The 21,469-nt window shown below is 43.3% G+C and overlaps 7 annotated features.

Moving 5' to 3' along the window:
* Positions 408-909: an enhancer, noted in NCBI's record as "NANOG hESC enhancer chr18:8997551-8998052 (GRCh37/hg19 assembly coordinates)". NCBI's record gives its function as "activates a minimal SCP1, AML or CMV promoter by ChIP-STARR-seq in primed H9 embryonic stem cells {active_cell/tissue: H9 hESC(primed)}" and the evidence as "EXISTENCE:reporter gene assay evidence [ECO:0000049][PMID:30033119]".
* Positions 19,372-20,196: an enhancer, noted in NCBI's record as "H3K27ac-H3K4me1 hESC enhancer chr18:9016515-9017339 (GRCh37/hg19 assembly coordinates)". NCBI's record gives its function as "activates a minimal SCP1, AML or CMV promoter by ChIP-STARR-seq in naive H9 embryonic stem cells {active_cell/tissue: H9 hESC(naive)}" and the evidence as "EXISTENCE:reporter gene assay evidence [ECO:0000049][PMID:30033119]".
* Positions 19,372-21,120: a biological region, named in NCBI's record as "P300/CBP strongly-dependent group 1 enhancer GRCh37_chr18:9017064-9018263".
* Positions 19,791-19,890: a silencer, noted in NCBI's record as "silent region_9275". NCBI's record gives its function as "represses an Ori minimal core promoter by ATAC-STARR-seq in GM12878 lymphoblastoid cells {active_cell/tissue: GM12878}" and the evidence as "EXISTENCE:reporter gene assay evidence [ECO:0000049][PMID:35858748]".
* Positions 19,921-21,120: an enhancer, noted in NCBI's record as "P300/CBP strongly-dependent group 1 enhancer chr18:9017064-9018263 (GRCh37/hg19 assembly coordinates)". NCBI's record gives its function as "activates an origin of replication core promoter dependent on BRD2, BRD4, P300/CBP, MED14 and CDK7 cofactors, with strong dependence on P300/CBP, by STARR-seq in HCT116 cells {active_cell/tissue: HCT116}" and the evidence as "EXISTENCE:reporter gene assay evidence [ECO:0000049][PMID:35650434]".
* Positions 20,341-20,410: an enhancer, noted in NCBI's record as "active region_13064". NCBI's record gives its function as "activates an Ori minimal core promoter by ATAC-STARR-seq in GM12878 lymphoblastoid cells {active_cell/tissue: GM12878}" and the evidence as "EXISTENCE:reporter gene assay evidence [ECO:0000049][PMID:35858748]".
* Positions 20,571-20,680: an enhancer, noted in NCBI's record as "active region_13065". NCBI's record gives its function as "activates an Ori minimal core promoter by ATAC-STARR-seq in GM12878 lymphoblastoid cells {active_cell/tissue: GM12878}" and the evidence as "EXISTENCE:reporter gene assay evidence [ECO:0000049][PMID:35858748]".

A 21,469-nucleotide genomic window follows, 5' to 3' on the forward strand; every position in this document is an offset into this window, starting at 1 on the left:
TTAATTTGTTACACAGTAATAGATAACTAATACAGCTGGCTTATCAGGCATGTGTAGTTTAAGACTTTTCATACAGATTGCAAAATTGCCTTCCTGAAATGTTATGCCAATTTACACTCCCACGAAGAGTTGCATAAGAGTGCTCATGTTCTCAGTCCTTCCTCTTGTTAAGTGCTACATTTTTAATTTATTCTTTCTGATATTCTTTATTCTTTCTGATAGAAAATGGTATCTTATTACTCTGATTTATATAGTTTTAAAGTTCAATGAGGTTGAACGTTTTTCATATATTTATTATCTGTTTTGTGACTCTCAATCAAATGCTGTGTGTGTGTGTATATATATATATTAAATTGTAGTGTTAATTTTTTTCATTCCTTGATTCCTAAGGTCTATTTGGCTTTTAACATCTTATATCTACCTGTTACTATGTTGCAAGTATTTCTCCTAGCTTGCCACATAGATATCCTTATGTGGGGGACATGAAGATGTACTGCCTGCAACCCTTTCAAGGAAGATTTGTGGCAGCTGTCTCTTGCCTCAGTTGCAGAGAGCTGCCTTGCCCAAGAGTATGCTCTTCCTGTGACCCATATCCATTGATCAATTGTTGTAGGGTATAAAGGTCCAGCCATTTCAGCCCACCATGGTCCTGCTCTGGCAAGCCATTGACACTCCCGAGCTCTCCACAGGGTAGCATTGCTGAGCTGCATTGTAGTTCGACCACTCCCCTAAAGAAACCCTGCTTCCTTCGTCTCCTTTCCATAGGTGTCGATCTCTAACAAACACGGTGCCCATCAAATTTCAACCTAGCATCTTTTTCTAGAATACTTAACCTGTGACATCCTGGAAATTAATTCCTCAACTTGTAATTGATATAATATCTATATACCTCTACACATAAATGTATTACTCTTAAAAATAATTTATTATGTTTTTTCATAGGGGAAACTGGTTCTTTTATAGAATGATTATTGGAATAAAAACACAAAAAGTTGAGTGTTATTTAAAAACACAAAGTCTTTCCCTATCAGCTACTATGCAAATCCATTATCTATATTACATTTCTTCAAATAAAATCACTTCCTTACCCTGCGATATCTCCCCTGTCACTTACTATCCCCTTTATCTTGTTTTTTTTTCTTCACAGCATTTTATTTGAGTATCTTTTACATCTGTATCTGCCTCCCCAGCACCTAGAATGGAACATGGCATATAATGTGTTCAATAAATATTGATTGAATGGATAGATGAGTAGATCAATAAAGGAGTAAGTGACATTTGGGTAAAGGTAGATAAAGTATATCCAGACCAATACCATATTTGTCCTCCTTCTTCCAGGAAAATGAAGCACAGTATTAATTTGTCTCATACAGAAGTTACCAAAAATATTTATTGTATGTGCACAAATGTATCCAGACCACTCTAGAAACCATCTCTTCTTTGATCTCTTCTTTCCCCCAGCCTTTCCTCTTTTTGCAGCCTGCAGGACTGCCTAGCTTCAAGGGAGCTGAGAGGAAGGTTGTGTTCAGGTGATCAGGAATGGTAACAGATGGTTGGATGCCCTCATTTTGCAGATGCCTCTATATTTGTGCTGCTTAAAAGCATTTTAACTAGTATAGAGCAAAACATGTATTATCTTTTAGTTGCAGCCCTAGTTTCTAGAATCCCGGATTAGTGACTAGCCCCCTAAACCTCACAGCCACTAATCCACTGGGATGGCTCCTCTGCCTCTGTTGACGTTGGGTGCTTTCAGCCCCCAGTGAATTCTGCCTCTTTAATCTTGTTTGGTGCTGATTTTTTTTTTTCTACCATTAGCGCTTTGGATTGGAATGTGGTTGCCTCATATTTTTTTGTCAGACTCTTTACAGACAAGCAAATAAACTTGGAGAGGGTAAGTAAGGTAACACAGGAGATCTGAGATAGAGCTAGGACTTTTGCCATCTATCCTTGTCATCAAAAGCACTCATTAATCTTATCGTCATTCTGTGGCAGGGTGGTGGAACAGCACAGGTCAATTTAGAGATTCAGGACAATGGGGAACACTCACTCTCTCCAGTTCTTTTGTGCAAACAGCTGACCTAAGAATAAAACTTAAGCATCCAGAATGTCATAAAAGCACAGTCTATGTTCATATTTAAGTTCATCTGCAGCATTTTTGTCACTTTTAGCTACGATTAGGATGCCTTTAAAGCAGTTATTGTCCAATAGATTTCCATTTGAAGGAAAGGATGTTTGTCATGGTAAGTAATTAAGTAATAGAACATTTCTTAGCTTCTAAGGGAAACCTTTCCAGGTTAAGTAATTTGCAGAGGGGGAAATGTCATCTTTTATTTTTTTTCTTCAGAAGGAATTGATTAGACAGAACAACTACAGGAAACCCCAAATGTTGAAATCAGCAGGAGACCTTTAAATTGCACAGAATCAAATTTCTAAAAACATAATTCTACCTGTATTGTTGAAAATAGAGAGGCCAGATGCGGTGACTCATGCCTGTAGTCCCAGCACTTTGGGAAGCCGAGGCAGGTGGATCACTTGAGGTCAGGAGTTTGAGAGTAGCCTGGCCAACATGGCGAAACCTCATCTCTACTAAAAATATAAAATTAGCCGGGCATGGTGGTGCATGCCTATAAGTCCCAGCTACTCGGGAGGCTGAGGCAGGAGAATCGCTTGAACCCGGGGGGCGGAGGTTGCCGTGAGCCAAGATCGCGCCATTGCACTCCAGCCTGGGCAACAAGAGCGAAACTCCGTCTCAAGGAAAAAAAAAAAAATAGAGCTCAAAAATCCATTAGCTCTTTGCATTTTCCCCCATTTTGTAATTATTGTTATTGCTTTATGCATTGTGAAGTCTCTATTATGCGAACCCCATCGGGGGCTGCTTTTCCATCACGATCAGCTCATTGGTGCTGTCAGCATAGAGCTCCCGGGAGGCCTCCCTGAGAATCTAGTGGAAAAGAAAGGAAATGTGAGCTTGAGGAGTCTTGCTAGCAGTGACTGTTGCCGTGCCCACTGGAGCTATGCTTAACCTAAAGATTTCAGGACTCTGACCTACAAAAACATCTCAGGCAGGACGCCCAGGTTTTGGTGTCTTTTTCACGCTTTTTTTCCCCAGGAACATGACCAGCCACATTTTAATGGCCATAGAGAAAACAAAATTTTTTCCCCTGGTGCCAGTTATTTTTGTTGAGTTTGTCGTTTTAAGATAATTGATGTAAAAAAAAAAAAAAAACATTTATCCAGGGAAGGCAAGAGCAGAAAAGAACCTGATAAATCCTCCAAGGAGGACTAGGGGATAGAAAGTAACATTATAGCCATGAAGAACCTAATTGTGCATCCAGCAATAATTTCTGCTGTATAAACTAAGATTTAAAGATGTCTCTCAGGAAGCAGGAAAATAGTGGGATGTCCCATAGAGGACATGAGCTTTGACACTGAAAGACTGCTGTCCGCCGCTGCCTGGGACCACTGAAGACAGACAAGCTTTCCAGCATGAATTTTGGTTAATATAGTGAATTATATAGACATGAAAGAGATTTACTGCCCTCTCACACCATCTTTCTCTAAACACATAAACATTCAAGATAAAATAGAACCCCCTAAAAATAGATTGAAATGCAGAGCCCAGCTTACAAGTTTTAGGAAACGGATCCAAAATAAAAAAGAGAGCAAAGCCAGAGAGGCAATTAAGAGCTGCAGCAGCATGGCCCACAGGGGACCATCCCCAGATGAAGGTCTTACTGGCTGGGAGTTGGAGTTTTAACACGTGGACTGAGACAGGAGAGTTAGGCTCAGGGCCATGGGAAGGGAGGCTCTTGCATAACGTTGAGTCTCAGATTCCATTCCTTTCATGAACCTATGAGTTGAAAAACTCTTCCCACTTGCCTGAGGAAGAACGAGAAGATTGCTGTCTACTCTGGTCCCTGGAAAAAAGAGCCACCCGCCATAAATCAAAATGGAGGTGTGAGATCTGAATTTATAAGTTGGGTATGGTGAGAAAACCCCCAAGATCAGAAATTAATATAAAATTCTTCTGGAATGGGTGAAACCACTAGAAACACAGCAGAGGCACATGCAAAACTGTCCTATAGAGATATTTCTTTACCCCTGTTATGAACTGATTTGTGTCCCCTCAAACTTCATATGTTGAAGCCTTAACCCCCAAGATGACTGTATTTAGAGGCAGGGCTTTTATGAAGGAAATTCAGGTTAAATGAGATCATAATGACTGGTGTCCTTATAAGGGAAGAAATACCAGGGATGTACGCACACAGAAGAAAAGCCATGTAAACACGTAGCAAAAAGGCAGCCCTCTGCAAGCCAAGGACAGAGGCCTCAGGAGAAAGCAACCAAGCACCTTGATCTTGGGCTTCCAATCCTCCATAACTGTGAGAAAATAAACGTCTTTTATTAATTATAATTACACCTGTAATCCCAGCACTTTGGGAGGACAAGGCAGGCAGATCACTTGAGCTCAGGAGTTCCAGACCAGCCTGGACAACATGGCGAAACCCCGTCTCTACTAAAAATACAAATAATTAGCTAGGTGGGGTGGTGTGTGCCTGTAGTTTCAGCTACTGGGTAGGCTGAGGTGGGAAAATCACTTGAGCCCTGGAGTTCGAGGTTGCAGTGAGCTATGATCACGCCACTGCACTCAGCCTGGGTGACAAAGTGAGACTCTTCCAAAAAAAGGAAAAGAAATGTCTTTTGCTTAAGCCACCATTCCATGGTATTTTGTTATAACAGCCCTAGCAAACTAAGACATCCTAGAATACATGGCAGCCTAGGTACCCTCACTGAAGGTAAATTCACAAGAAAAATTTCTAGACTTCACGAAGAAAGGGAAAGTCACAAGGAATAATGAACAGGGAAATTTGCACTCCCCAAAACTACAGGTAATAGAATAAGCTAAAACATATTATAAAATGTTTCTTTAAAATATTTAGACATGAAAGAAGGTATAGAAATTATAAGTACAGAGTAATATGAGAAAGGAATATGTTTTTTAAAGAAAATTGAATATAAATTGTGAAAATAAAAAATACAGTTACTGAAATTAAAAATGCAATGAATGGGAAAACAGTATACTAGACCCAGCTGAATAGAAACTTAGTGAATTGAAATACAAATCTAAAAAAGAGTCTGTAGCATCTAGATGAAAATACCAAAGAAAGGCAAAGATACATGAAAGATAGAATGAGAAATACCAAAATATGGATATTAACAATTACAAAAGGAAACACCAGAAGAACCTAGAAGGGGCAAGGAAGGGTTTTATATGTACAGGCTTGGCTGGGTGCGGCATCTCATGCCTATAATCCCACACTTTGAAGGCCAAGGCAGGAGGACTGTTTGAGACTGGGAGTTTGAGAACAGTCTGGACAACACAGCAAGACTTTACCTTTACTAAAATTTTTTTTTAAATTAGCCAGGCATGGTGACACGTGCTTGTAGAACCAGCTACTAGAGTGGCTGAGGTAGGAGGATCACTTGAGCCCAGGAGGTTGAGGGAAAAAAAAGAGAGCGCGAGGGAGATAAATGTAAAGCCTGAAAATTTTCCTGAATGGGAGAAGGAAATTGTCTTCAGATTAAAGAAACCTATCAGGACCTGAGCAAGAAAAATAAAAACAAAATCACATCTAAACACATTGTAATGAAAGAGCAAATCAACAAAAACAAACAAAAAAAAGCCTTAAAAACTACCAGGTTATTTTTCAAAGAATGGCAATTATACTAGAGAAGACTTTTCAACAACAGAAATCAAACAACAGTGAAATAATATTTCAAAGTTCTGAGAAAAACAATAACTGTCTCTCTAGAATTCTAGACCCAATTACACTGTCATTCAAGAGTGAAAGCAAAATAAAAGTGTTTTCAGACAAGCAAGTTTACTATTCCGACTTACCTGAAACAACTGATTTAAAATATACTATAGGAAGAATTAATTTGAGTGGTATACAAGAAGCATGTGGTAAATACACTGGTAAATCTAAATGAGTGTTTGCTATAAATAATAATAGTACTGAAAAATGAGGTGACGGTCAGGGGTAAAAACAAGAATTAAAGTACCAGAAAATGATAACACAGGAGATAGAAGGTCGATTTTGAAGAATTCTAAGGTCTTTCTATTGTTAAGGTGAAGAACGGAAATATTAAGTGACCTTAAAATCTAAGTAAATATCTGTGTTAAAAATTGAGAACATCAAATAGATAATTTGTTAATTTGATAATGTGGGCAGTGATATGGTTTGGCTGTGTCCTCAACCAAATCTCATCGTGAATTGTAGTTGCCATAATTCCTGTGTCATGGGAAGGACCAAGTGGGAGGTAACTGGATCATGGGGGCGGGTCTTTCCCATGCTGTTCTCATGGTAGTGAATAAGTCTCAGGAGATCTGATGGTTTTATAAAGGGGAGTTCCCCTGCACAAGCTCTCTTTGCCTGCCACCGTGTAAAACATCCCTTTGCTCTACCTTGGTCTTCTGCCATGATTGTGAGGTCCTCCAGAAGCCATGTGGAACTGTGAGTCCATTAAACCTCTTTCCTTTATAAATAACCCAGACTCAGGTATGTCTTTATTAGCAGTGTGAGAACAGACTAATACAGGTAGGTAAAGGAAAATAATGAAAAACCCAATCAAGTCAATGAAAGTCAGGGAGGGGTTGTGGGGAAACATGGTAAATGAGAAACCCAGAATAAATGATAGCAAAAAAACTCAACATATCAGTAAGCAATATAAATGTAAATGGATTATATTTGTCTACTAAAATACAGAGACTCTCAAATTCCATTTACAAAATCCGTTAGATGGTGCTCCAACTCTGGCTTGTAGTTTTTACGGATGAAAAACTAGTTGCCTGTCATTATTGTCTTTATTATTATGTATGTAATATGCCTTTTACCTCTCTCTGCTTATAAGATTTATTGTTATTATTATTGGTTTTAAGCAATTTGATTATGAAATTAAGTTGGCACATACCCGCTCATTGATTGATAGATTTAACACAATTGTATTATAATTACATCAATAAAGATATACACAAGGCATCATTATAAAAGCATAAAAGAACATAACTTTAGTAGAATTTTCCCGGTATATTAATTTAGATAAAGGCATAAATGATTGCAATAATAGAATTCATATAAAGAAAAGAGAAGCTCATGCCTATAATCCCAGCACTCTGGGCCAAGGCGGGTGGATCACTTGAGGTCAGGAGTTCAAGACCAGCCTGGCCAACATGGTGAGACCACCATCTCTATTAAAACTACAAAAATTAGACAGGCATGGTGGCACATGCCTGTAATTCCAACTACTCTGGAGGCTGAGGCAGGAGAATCACTTGAACCCAAGAGGCAGAGGTTGCAGTGAGCCAAGCTTACGCCACTGCACTCCAGCCTGGGCAACAGAGCAAGATTCTTTCTCAAAAAAAAAAAAAAAAAAAAAAAAAAAACAGAGAGAAAGAAAGAAAAAAAGAAGAATTAGGGCAAGAAATTCCCACTTTATAAACTATAAATATAAAGTACAGAAGGCATAGAAAGCTAAACACTTCATTGTCACCATTTTCACCATCCAAGTCTATCTTGATTTTACGTTATCTGTAGCTTAGGCCTAGGGCAACCTGGTGGCCAATCAGTAAGCTCCCAATTCTCACATGAGTACATATTTTGTATATTGGTCTATGCATCCCAAAACCCCTTGTGGATTCTGGGGAAGGTGGTACTGCCATCATGCTCCCGTGCACACCTCCAGAATGGGCCTCTTAGGTATAAGCAGTGGGCAAGAGAGATCTGGAGAACAGAGGAAAGGGTTGAAGGAAAATTTTTTCATTCTCAACTCCCTTAAAAATATAAATACAGAGATGGGGGAAAAATCACTACATCTATTTACTCCTTAAGCTCACGCCTTAGAAAGCAGCATTGCTTTTTGCTTTTTGTCAAGCACATGAGATCAAAACTAAACATAGTTAATTCCACATGGATGGAGGAAAATTTGCATGTTCTCTGCAGTGAGGTCGAATGTGACTCCATTCAGTGATCTCTTTTTTTTGAGACAGAGTCTCACTCTGTCACCCAGGCTGGAGTGCAGTGGCACCATCTTGGCTCACTGCAATTTCCACCTCCTGGATTCAAGCAATTCTCCTGCCTCAGTCTCTAGAGTAGCTGGGATTACAGGCACGCACCACCATGCCTGGCTAATTTTTGTAATTTTTCTTAATAGAGACAGGGTTTCACCATGTTGTCCAGGCTTGTCTCGAACTCCTGACCTCAAGTGATCCGCCTGCCTCAGCCTCCCAAAGTGCTGGGATTACAGGCATGAGCCACCATGCCCGCCAGTGATCCCTTTTTCTCCACTCTGGTTATGGAGAGCAGCCAGGGGTGCTGACTGTGCTTTCCATGGCACATTCAGGTGGAACAATGGGCCCATGAACCATCTATTCCCTGGCTATGGGCATTCAAGGCATATAAGGATTGGATCCCAGGAGACCTGGGGCTTCCAGGGCTGCAGGACAGAGATAAGAAGCAGTGAGTCATAGTCCGGATAGGGAAGATGCTCTCACACTTGCTTGGCAAATAAGAGTAGCTTAGAAGAAAATTCTCCTATTTCTGGAAGGGAGTAAGGAGTGAATCCCAGGAAAGGAGGGACCTGCTGCACTGCAGACCCCATGTGGGGGCAGTATCTCAGGGACTGGCCTGCATGCTACACCTAGGGGGCTGTGTCCTGGGTCTGGGTCCCACCTCAGCAAGCCTGTCTGGGCCAGCTTGTTATGGGAGTAGTGTTGTCCTCTATCTCTTAAAACCCACAATAAACCAGATCCATCCAGGCACACACCTATAATCCTAGAGCTTTGGGAGGCTGAGGCAGGAGGATTGCTTGAGGGCAGGAGCTCAAGACCAGCCTGGACAACATAGTGAGACCCCCGTCTCTACAACAGAATCTAAAAATTAACCAGGCATGATGGCATGGAGTCCCAGCTGCTCAGGAGGCTGAAGTGGGAGGACTGTTTGAACCCAGGAGTTCAAGGCTGCAGTGGGCTATGACCATGCCACTGCACTCCAGCATGGGCAACAGAGGGAGGCCCTGTCTCTTAAAAAGAAAAGAAATCAGATCCAAGAACTAAAGGCCATCCCCAAAATTCCAGGTTGCATGAGACCCTGTGACTGGTGCAGGACCCCAAGAAGGTGACAGGAAAGAACCACAATGCTGACCAATATTTTTTTAAATAATCTCTAGAGAGTGGGCACTTGGGGGTTAATTTACTTTGATTTTTAAAAATGAAATAACTCATTAACTCTTGGTCTGAAAGTTGTGATGGAACTAAATCCATATACACCACACATATTTACAGAACAAGGCTATTTAGATCAGTGGGTTTTTTGTTTCTTTTTGTTTTCAGTTTAATTTATTTAAAATTTTTATTTATTAATTATTTATTTTCAGAGATGGGTTCTCACTGTGTTGCCCAGGCTAGAGTGCAGTGGCTACTCACAGGAGTGATTATGGTGCACTATAGCCTCAAACTCCTGGGTTCAAGCAATCCTCCCACCTTAGCCTCCCAGTAGCAGCTGGGATTACAGGCACACACCACTGCACCTGGCTTAGACCAGGTATTTTTCAAGCTGTAGACTGAGATCCACTAGTAGGTCATGAAATTAATTTAGTGAGTCTTGACCAGCCATTTTTCATTAAATAGAATGGAAAAAAAAAAAAAAAGAGCTTCTGCACCACAAAAGAAACTATTATCAGAGTGAACAGGCAACCTACAGAATGGGAGAAAATTTTTACAATCTACCCATCTGACAAAGGGCTAATATCCAGCCAGAATCTACAAAGAACTTAAACAAATTTACAAGAAAAAATCAAACAACCCCGTCAAAAAGTGGGCAAATGATATGAATAGACACTTCTCAAAAGAAGACATTTATGCAGCCAAAAGACACATGAAAAAATGCTCATCATCACTGGCCATCAGAGAAATGCAAATCAAAACCACAATGAGATACCATCTCACACCTGTTAGAATGGCGATCATTAAAAAGTCAGGAAACAACAGGTGCTGGAGAGGATGTGGAGAAATAGCAACGCTTTTTTTTTTTTTTTTTTTTTTTTTTTTTTTGAGATGGAGTCTCACTCTGTCGCCCAGGCTGGAGCGCAGTGGTGCAGATCTTGGCTCACTGCAAGCTCCGGCTCCCAGGTTCAAGCCATTCTCCTGCCTCAGCCTTCTCAGTAGCTGGGACTACAGGCACCTGCAACCACATCTGGCTAATTTTTTGTATTTTTAGTAGAGACAGGGTTTCACTGTGTTAGCCAGGACGGTCTCGATCTCCTGACCTCGTGATCTGCCCGCCTTGGCCTCCCAAAGTGCTGGAATTACAGGCGTGAGCCACCGTGCCTGGCCAGAAATGCTTTTACACTGTTCGTGGGACTATAAACTAGTTCAACCATTGTGGAAGACAGTGTGGCGATTCCTCAAGGATCTAGAACTAGAAATACCATTTGACCCAGACATCTCATTACTGGGTATATACCCAAAGGATTATAAATCATGCTGGTATAAAGACACATGCACACGTACGTTTATTGCAGCACTATTCACAATAGCAAAGACTTGGAACCAACCCAAATGTCCATCAATGATAGACTGGATTAAGAAAATGTGGCACATATACACCATGGAATACTATGCAGCCATAAAAAAGGATGAGTTCATGTCCTTTGTAGGGACATGGATGAAGCTGGAAACCATCATTCTGGGCAAACTATCGCAAGGACAGAAAACCAAACACCACCATGTTCTCACTCATAGGTGGGAATTGAACAATGAGAACACTTGGACACAGGGTGGGGAACATCACACACCAGGGACTGTCATGGGGTGGGGGAAGGGGGAAGGGTAGCATTAGGAGAAATACCTAATGTAAATGACAAGTTAATGGGTGCAGCACACCAGCATGGCACATGTATACATATGCAACTAACCTGCACATTGTGCACTTGTACCCTAGAACTTAAAGTATAATAAAAAAAAACAACAAACAAACAAAAAGAATGGAAAAAAACTCTGTTTCAGGACTTTTTCTTTTCAGTTATAGGTAAGTATGTGTGTACAGGGTAGCAACGTAAATGCATTTCCTATTGTAGGTCATGGTCAAAAAACTTGAGAACTAAATTAGACCACATCACTATGAGTGAATAATTTCCTCTCCACCAGCTAGAAGTAGCTTGTCTGTACAGGAGGAAATACAGTCAGCCCTCCATGCCGGTGGGGTCCCCATTTGTGGATTCCACCAACCATAGACTGAAAGTATTTAAAAAAAAAAAAAAACTTGTTGGTTGTGTCTGTACTGAACACATGCAGGCGTTTTGTGCTCATCATTATCGCCTAAACAATAAAGTACAACAACTCTCTACAAAGCCTTTACATTATGCTAGGTATTATAAGTCATCCAAAGATAATTTAAAGTGCATGGAAGGTGTGCATAGGTTCCATGTAAATGCTATACTACTTTATATCAGGGACTTGAGCATCCTCAGATTCTCAGATTTTGATATTCACGGTGGGGGTTCTGTTACCAACAGAGCTGGTCCCCCACAAAAATGGGGTCTTTCCCTGTTTGGTGCAGTGAAACCAATACACAACACCGAAAGTGAGTGTCAAGTGGTGCAGGCTTTATTCGATGGCCATGGAATTGAGAAGCGGGAGCTTGGCTCACAAATCAACTTCTCAATTAGTGAGGGGTGAGGGGGTTATCATATAGGGTTTCCTTAATGATGGCTGGACATTAAAAGCAAGAGGAGGAATATCCATGTCTTTTCTGGAACTGGGCGGTACACTTCTTGGAATGAGGGGCTCCCTTGTTTTTGTCCTTTTATGGCTCCTTCTGGTCATTGTCACGGGGACTGGCAACCGTCATGACACTGGTGGAAGTGTCATTTAGCATGGAAATTAGATTATAATGAAGCCTGAGGTCTTTTTGAAGTCATCTGGTCGGATACCTGGGGTAGGCTTTGTAACTGGTCTCAGCTGGTCTGGTTACAAAGGGAACTTTTTATCGCCGGTGTCCTGTTTCTTAAAGATAAGCAGAGTTAGAGCAAAGGAGAAATTCAGCTATGTCACGTAGGCATTATACCAACAGTTCCTGGAACCAGTCCCCCACAGATAACAAGGCACGACTGCACATAGACTAATGGTCCCCAACCTTGGGTCCTAAAAAGAAGTAACGGGGGGCGGGGCATGGTGGCTCATGCCTGTAATCCCAGCACTTTGAGAGACCAAAGTGGGCAGATCACCTGAGGTCAGGTGTTCAAGACCAGCCTGACCAACAAGGCGAAACCCTGTCTCTACTAAGAAAATACAAAAAATTAGCTGGTGTGATAGCGCACGCCTGTAATCCCAGCTAGTCAAGAGGCTAAGGCAGGAGAATCGCTTGAACCTGGGAGGCAGAGGTTGCAGTGAGCCGAGATCGTGCCATTGCACTCCAACCTGGGCAACAAGAGTGAAACTCTGTCTAAAAAAAAAAAAGTAAGTAATGGGGATATTATAAACCATTTTCAGCAATAGCTAGCATTTATGAAGCATATCCTGGATAAGAGATATGTGGGTTACATCTTCATTTTCTAGATAAATTAAAGTCACTCATACTCATCTATCAAGTTGAAGAGCTAAATTTTAAATCCAGGTTCTTCAGACTCCAAAACAATGCCTTTTCTAAGAGACCACACTGCACCCCCCTACCCTTCAATAATTCATGAACCTTATTACAAATAATATGCATGCCTACAATAAAGCTGCCCAGCCAAAAAAAAAAAAAAAAAAAAAAAAAAAGGCTTGACAATATTTTGTAGTGTTGGCTACTTAAATGTGAAAAATCAAGTCTGTAATAAGAATATGTGTGAAACATTCTATAAACCATACAGTAAAATAAAAATATAGGGTGGTATTGAGGTCAGACAAGACCATTTTGGTGTCTTTTCCTCCAATCTTTCATATCCAGTAAGTCATCCCACTACCACAGCAGACCAACTAGGATTGGCCGAAATCGTGCCTGCTTGCGCCTTCTTTCTAGAAATTTCCATGTCCCCAGCGTGCATGTTCTGTCGCCTTCTGCCCCTTTCTGTCTTGCTGCCGTACTCTCCATTGGTCTTGCCTCTGCTGCCTTGTTTCCTTTCTGTACAAGTGCAAGGCAGAGCTCTTTCCTTTCCCCTGAGCATCTGTCCCTGTGCAAATTTATCAGGTTTCTCTCGTCTAGCAGAGAAAGAAAAATGAAGTATCAGCATTATGGCCTATCTGTGCACTTTTTAAAATTAACTGCAAGCTTCATTTAATATCTTCATTCTTGTTTTTCCTTTCCTTTTCTCTTCCACTTTAATTTTATTCCTCCTCGCTGTACTCTTGGATCTCAGTAAGCCACCTTAAGTTCTTTTTGACATAAGAAAGAGAGATAAATACATTTTTTCAACTTATAAATTGAGGTAGTTTCGTGTCCCAGGGTTTCGAAGTTAATACTGTCTTTCTTCCTGCGTTTAACACGGACTTGATGGAACAGGTCTCTGGCATGGAAAAATCACAGAGTCACCCTGGCTATTAACAGTCATGGATCCATTAAGAGTCTATTTTATTTTGACTACTTTGTATCTTTTTTCTTCTGGACCCAGGAATAATTACAGATCCAAGAATTGAACAGATACTCCCAACCTGAGAGCTAACGCTCACCTAACTGATTCCAAAATCCCCTCATTTGGTGGGGAGGGAGGGAGGGGGGCTACCTTGTACTTCCAGAACTCCTGGGAACACATTGAGATTCCTCCATCACGGTATTTTTATGTCTACTCTTTCCCTATTGGTGCTGAAGAGTTGCCTCCTGATCTCTGTCCTCAACTTTGAGCCAAAGGATATTTATTAAAGAAAGAAAGTCATAGCACGTTTAAAAAAGAAGAGTCCCCAGAAGTAAAATTTCTCTGCACTCGTTGTAAGCTCCACATGGCTTGCAGTGAAGAAAAGTGGACAACCCTGCCTCGCCTCCAGTAGATGCGCCCTCCACAAACCACCCAAGGCTGCCCCCGTGTTCTGTCCACACTAACCTAAGCCAACCTCATAAGTGACAGATGTTTATTGAGTGCCTGCTAGGGGCCAAATGATTTTTAAATTTATATTTTTGAATCAGGGGACTCTTTTTAAAAAATGAAATATTACACTGAATTTCAATATACAAATGATAAAGGTGGAGCCCATTGAGGTGAAGTGAGGGAGATGGCAGGGGGAGGATAGCGGGAGAGAAAGCCCCTCCCTCAGCTCCTGGGAGCACAGATTGAAAACCACTGTGCTATGGGGACCGAAGGAGAGTTAGCTACCTGTGAGGAACTCCCCATCGAGTGTGACAAATGCATAAACACGCACATACAGCTGGGAAGGCAGGGCTGTGGTGGGAGTGGGTGTTGGAGCTTCCAGAGGGTGTCACAGGAGCAAGAAACATTGCATGTTGGGAGAAATGACACGTGCCAGATGGAGGGAATGAAGAAGGCCGTGATGGGGGAGCAAGAGATGCAATGGAGAAGTAGAGAATGGTCAGATTATAAAAGACCTTGTGTGCCATTCTAGGGAGTCTGGATTTTGTCCAGGCTTTTCCTAAAGGCTACAGCAGACAGAGGGATCAAAGCAGAGGCAGGACAGGACCAGGTTCACAGATTATAGGAGATGGCAGTCAGGGGGTGGGGCAGGGATACAAAAGCACCAATTATTGATCCAGGGGAAAGACTGGATCAACAGTTGGCATATCAGTTCCTTTTTGTACACGCTGTGTCATTCTGTCCTAGGTTGGGTTTTGTTTTGTTTTGTTTTGTGTTTTGTTTTTTGTTTTTTGTGTTTTTTTTGAGACAGAGTCTCACTCTGTTGCCCAGGCTGGAGTGCAGTGGCGCAATCTCGGCTCACTGCAACCTCCACCTCCTAGGTTCAAGCAATTCTGCCTCAGCCTCCTGAGTAGCTGGGATTACAGGCACACACCACCACGCCTGGCTAATTTTTGTATTTTTAGTAGAGACAGGGTTTCACCACGTTGGTCAAGCTGGTCTCAAACTCCTGACCTCATGATCCGCCCGCCTCAGCCTCCCAAAGTGCTGGGATTACAGGCGTGAGCCACCGCACCTGGCCTGTTCTGGTTTTTTTAAGACCCTCATTAAGCTTCCTGTCCTGTCTCTGTCTATTGCCTCTGTCTCTATAACATTTCCAGAAAATTCATGTCTTCTGCCTCTCTCCAACCTAGAAAACTGATGGAAACGGGACCACCGATGGAGTACTTCCACTGTAATCTTATGAGTCTATTCTTTCTCTCATTGGCTAAGAAGAATTGCCTACATGATTTCCACATTATTTCTGTCATAAAAGCAATGAAAATCATATTTATTTACTTATCTAGAGAACAGAGTCTGGCACATAGTAGCAGAAATTCAGTAAATACTTGTCTTAGTCCATTTGTGTTGCTATTTAAAAAAATACCTGAAGCTGGGTAATTCATAAAGAAAAGAGGTTTATTTGTCTCATGGTCCTGCAGGCTGTACAGAAAACATAGTGCCAGCATCTGCTTCTAGTGAGGCTTCAGGCTGCTTCCACACATGGTGGAAGGCAAAGGCAAGCTGGCATGTACAGACGACATGGTGAGAGAAGAAGCGAGAGAAAGAGAGACAGACAGACAGAGAGGAGAAGGTGCCAGGCTCTTTTCAACAACCGATTATCTTGGGAATTAAGAGTGAGAGCTCGCTCACTCCCACCAGACAGGCACCAACCCATCCATGAGGGATCCTCCCCCACAATCCAAACACCTTCCACCAGGCCCCACCTCCACTGGGGATTAAATTTCAACATGAGATTTGGTGGGGCCAAACAAACCGTATCCAAACCATAGCACATATGAAGTGAATAAAGGAATGAAGGAATGAATGAATGAGTGAAAACTAGGGAATCTTGACAATCTGACATAATGATTGCTAAGATGGCCTTTAAGTAGGGAGATGACACTATAGAGATGATATGAATGATCCAGGGTAAGTGACTGAGCTTTTAGCTGTTTTATCAAGAGAAAAGTTGATTTAGTGTAACTCACACTACTTGAATTCAGATCAGAAGACCTGCCTTTTCTGATCTTGGCTACGATCACACACTTGCCAGATTAACATTTCTGGGCCTCAGTTTCCTCATGTGTAAAATCATGAAAAATGGCCAGGCACAGCGGCTCACGCCTGTAATCTTAGCACTTTGGGAGGCTGAGGCAAGTAAATTGCTTGAACTGAGAAATTCAAGACCAGAGTGGGAAACATGGCAAAACCTGTCTCTACAAAAAAAAAAATACATAAATTAGCCAACATGGTGGTGCACACCTGTAGTCCCAGCTACCTGGGAGGCTGAAGTGGGAGGATCACTTGAGTCCAGGAGGTCTAGGCTGCAGTGAGCTGTGATGGCTCCACTGCACTCCACCCTGGGTGACAGAGCAAGACCCTGTCTCACAAAAAAAAAAAAAAAAAACATGGAAAATAATACCTACACCGGGCGAGGTGGCTCACGACTGTAATCCCAGCAATTTGGGAGGCCGAGACAGGAGGATTACCTGAGGTCAGGAGTTAAAGACCAGCCTGGCCAACATGGTGAAACCTCATCTCTACAAAAATACAAAAATTAGCCAGGCATGATGGCAGACACCTGTAATCCCAGCTACTTGGGAGGCTGAGGCAGGAGAATCACTTGAACCTGGAAGGTGGAAGTTGCAGTGAGCCGAGATCGCACCACTGCACTCCAGCTTGGGTGACAGAGGGAGACCCTGTCTCAAGAACAAAAAAAACAAAACAAACAAAAAAAAAACATGAAAAATAAGGCCTACCACCTTGCCGCATTGTTGTCAAGTTTCATGCGTCCAGGGAACACTAGGAAACAATTCTTTACTTTGTTCTTGGGTGATAGAGAGGAATGAGAAAAAGAAGGCATCTCTGTGACTGGACTATTTTATTCATTCATTCATTATCTATTCCCACTTGGAGATTCACCTTCCAGAATTCTGGGGCAAACCTGAAGAGCTTTGTGTTCAGTTTCAACAAGTCAACTCTCCATTGAAATGTGAATGAACTTTGTGGAGAGACCTTTCTATGGCAGCCTACTCTTATACTGGGCCCATGAGGCCAGTTCAAGGCCATGGACAGTTGTACATTGTTGAATACTGCACAAGGACATTACACCTAAGGGGACTTTTCACATTGTAGGCATGTCATGTGTATTTATCGTGACAGTTTCCTGGCATATGGAAGCAACATATCTTGTACTACCAAAAATCAGTATATGGTAGTAATTTCCCAACAAATACAAATACAATTTCCTAAGGAAGATATCCCGTTGTCCATTAGCATAAAAGTACTGCACCATACCAGCAGGTGCACCTCTGAGATCTGCTTGTCCCCACCTGATGTCTGTGCCTCTGCTGCTTATTCCAGGAGCAGGTGCAGTTGCCACACCACCACCCAGCACTCAGCCTCCCCTGGCAGAGGAACATGACCACCATTACGTCCTCTGTAGCTACAGCCCCAGCACCCAGGTGGGAGTCAAGCAGACCCCCACGGGCTTTGACTGCCCCGGGGGGCTGCCCAGAGGAACACAGAGTAACACACTCAGAAACATGGGGGAGATAACACCCCAAGGAAGGAACATGGACCAGTGAGAGTTGGGAGATGGGAGAAGCTGACAGATAAATGGCTCATTCAAGCTTCCCATGGCTTCTTGCGCCATTCCAAGAGCAATGGCTCCATGCAGCCTCTCCAGAGGTTCATGTCCTTGTGAGATGGTCACCAGCTTTTTCTTACACCACCTCTTATCTGTGTTCCCTCCTTCCCACCTCACAGCCCTCGCCCCTCACCTTGGTGCTCTGGGATTGCCCACCTCCCGCCAGCCCAGTACATTAGTGCTGTGGGCTGGGGAGCCTGGGTCACCATACACTCCACTGGGCTGATGGCCTCCCTGGGCCAGTCTGTGTGTTACAGATGTGCATATAAACACAAGCCAGATTTGATCGGGCGCGGTGGCTCATGCCTGTAATCCCAGCACTTTGGGAGGCCAAGGTGGGAGGATCACTTAAGGGAAGGAGTTCGAGGCTGCAGTGAGCTGTGATCACGCCACCGCACTCCAGCCTGGGTGACAGATCAAGACCCCCATCTCTAAATAGATAAATAAATAACAGGCTGAGAGGGGTGGCTCATGCCTGTAAGCCCAGCACTTTGGGAGGCCAAGGTGGGAGGATCACTTAAGGGAAGGAGTTCGAGGCTGCAGTGAGCTGTGATCACGCCACCGCACTCCAGCCTGGGTGACAGATCAAGACCCCCATCTCTAAATAGATAAATAAACATCAGGCTGAGAGGGGTGGCTCATGCCTGTAATCCCAGCACTTTGGGAGGCCAAGGCAGGAAGATTGCTTGAGCCCAGGAGTTTGAGACCAGCCTGTACAACATAGTGAGATCTCATCTCTAAATTCTAAAAAGTATAAAAATAAATAAATAACACAAGCCAGATTCCAAGCAATTGGAAGTGTTTTTGAACCATGCAAAGAGAGAGGAATTTGCCCCACTAACCACATGGAAAACTTTCCTAAAACTCTCATTTTGATATGACTTTTCCCCAAAGCCCCACCCTCCAGTACAGCTGCTCAAATTTCCCTCTGGTCCCTCCAGTACCTCAAAACCCTCCCTTCGCATCCTTTCTCACACTAAACCAGAGCTGCTCACCTTTTAACTTTCGTTACCTGGCTCCAGCTCTGGCTCTCCCTTTATCATACACATTTCTCATTGGAATGACCCCTTCCCACCCACCTCCAAGAGAGGCTGGGTGTGTAACCCCGCAGAGAATCACATCTCCTTAGGAGGGGAGAAGGGAGAGTGGTTGGTAAGAATTATAATTTAACATAATTGTTTTGGGCCTGCAGGAGTTGATCACTAAACGCTACAATTACTTCTGTCGACTGAAGGAAAAAAGATCAAGCTTTTAAAGAATTAAAGTTAGTTTTATTCAGAAGTCTCACTGAGGCCTACAGCCCAGAAGCAGACCTCTAGAGAGGTTCCATGAGACTACACCGTGTTTCAGCTCTATGCTTATATACAGGTGTGGAGGTTTAGTATCTGCAAAATCTCATCAAACTTGCTCAGAAGTTACACTGGGCGTAAAGTGCACCTGGTTATAGATTACATAGGCATAATCACTAACTTGCCAAACATGATCTTATGTATAGGAAAAGGCAAGGACTGGGGCCGTTTATCTTTTTTTTTTTTTTTTTCTTTTTTTTTTTTTTTGAGACAGTCTTGCTCTGTTGCCCAGGCTGGAGTGCGGTGGCACAAACATATCTCACTGCAGCCTCAACCTCCTGGGCTCAAGCGATCCTCTTGCCTCAGCCTCCCGAGTAGCTGGAACCACAGGTATGGGCCACCGTGGCTGGCTAATTTTTCATAGAGATTGGAGCAGGGATCTCACTTTGTCACCCAGGCTGATTGGTCTTAAACTCGTGGGCTCAAGTAATCATCCGGCCTCGGAGTCCCAAAGTGCTGGGATTACAGGCGTGAGCCACTGCTCCTGGCCTCATTTATGTTTTAAGGAATATAGTGACTCAGGCAAGAGAGTTGGGGGTCGTGTGCTGTAGCCTGTTTTGTCCTCAAAGCGTCTTTCCCCAGAGCTGCAAGTTGCCAGGGGTCTGGGGCTTTGTGAAATTCTACTGCAGGCAGAAAGGAGGCACGTGGCTTCTTACATTTGCTACTTTGTCTTACATTTCTATTGTTATAATCCCTCCAGGCCCTCTCACCCGACTTGACCTTGAGACTAATGGGTGTGTTGGAAAGATGCTGGCAAGGTCTGAGGGCACAGCCTGTGGCGGAGGCGGGGCCAGGCAGGCCTAGCCCCTCAGCCAGGCCGTGAGGCCCAGGGCCCTGCCGGGTGGGCGCTCTCTGGGAACTGCACGCAGAGGTGCCTCGTACCCCCAACCACGCCCCACAGGGACACCTGAACCTCCAGAGGAAGGAAATGAGTCTGGAGGAGCCGTAGACGAAAGAGATGCCGCCTCCTGCGGCTGGGATCACTCACAGATGCCTCAGGGAGGCGGCCAGCCCTGAGTCACGCTGAGCTCTGAGCGGGCTGTGACTCAGCGCGACCGCGGCCCCTTGGCTGCGCCTGGGTTGATTTGCGCCCCGCTTGTTTTCTGCAGAAGACAAGGCCGTCTCGGATTAGACTGCTCCTCCTAAACAACCAGCAATTGTTTTTCTTCCTCAAAGTGCAGTTTCCCTCTGGCACAACCAAAAATAAACACAAACCAGGCTCCTGCCAAAGGAGGGGCAGTCCCTGGGGCGCCCACCGCACGCATGTGAGAGCTCGCAGGCCACCTGCCAATCATGAATCTGTTAAGGAAGCGGCCACGAAGGCAGAGAAACCTCTCCCATCGCAGGTTGCGCTGCGATGCACAGGGGCGCTGACTGTTGAGTTGGCGCTCTGTTTATTTCCCCAACTGCCTCCTCTCAGGTTCCGTCCCAACTGCTGGACTCACTGCCGCGTGGGCCTGAGCACATTTCCTTGGCACATTGTCCTCGGTGGAAGTTTTTTCTTCTCGATTTGGTGAGTCAGAGCTGGCTCACACACAAACACCAAGCAGCAGCCTCAGGGACTAAAGTGCTTTAAGGACACGAGGACCTATCCTCCCTCCCCCTATCTCAGTGAGGTGGGCGCAGAGTTCCTGAAACCTGGCCCAGTGCAGTTCATTTGACAGGGAGAGGCTGAAAATGCAAATCACCCCAGCGTAAGTGAGTGCACAGCAAAGACCACGACCTGGCTGCAGCTTATCCTAAAATCCTGAAGTCAGGGAACACCGTGCCCACAGGAAGAGCTGGGCAGCCTGAACCATACTAAGATGTCCCAGGGTGAACCGGAGCCACTGGTTAGTCACACTGACTTCACATTTCCTTCGTGAGAAGGAACTGAAGACAGATTCCAGAACTTGCTGTGTGTAGAATGTATAGTTCATTGCATGTAAGTAAACTCATGTGGTTCCGAATCTATAGGATCAATTCAGCCATTTTAGTGTTATGTCCATGACATCTGAATTTATAAAAATCTAAGTGTCCCTAGCTAGAGATACCTGAAACTAAACAGGCCCTACTTACTATTCATTTTATTTTTGAATAGATAATTCACTCATATATTCAGATATCAAATCCTCATAAAATGATATACATTAAGAATTCTCACTTCCATGCTGTTCTCATTCCTCTCTGCCCCCATAAGCAACCACTTTTACTGCTTTTTAATACATCCTTCCAGTGTATCATTATGCAAATATAAACAAAAATTAATATACTTCTGTGGTTGTCAGAATAATGGCCTCCCAAAAATGTCCATGTGCTAATCCCCAGAACCTATTAATTTGTTACTTTATGTGGAATAAGGACTTTGCAGATGTGATTGAACTGAGGATCT

Source organism: Homo sapiens, chromosome 18 (assembly GCF_000001405.40).
Source record: "Homo sapiens chromosome 18, GRCh38.p14 Primary Assembly".
NCBI lineage: Eukaryota > Metazoa > Chordata > Mammalia > Primates > Hominidae > Homo > Homo sapiens.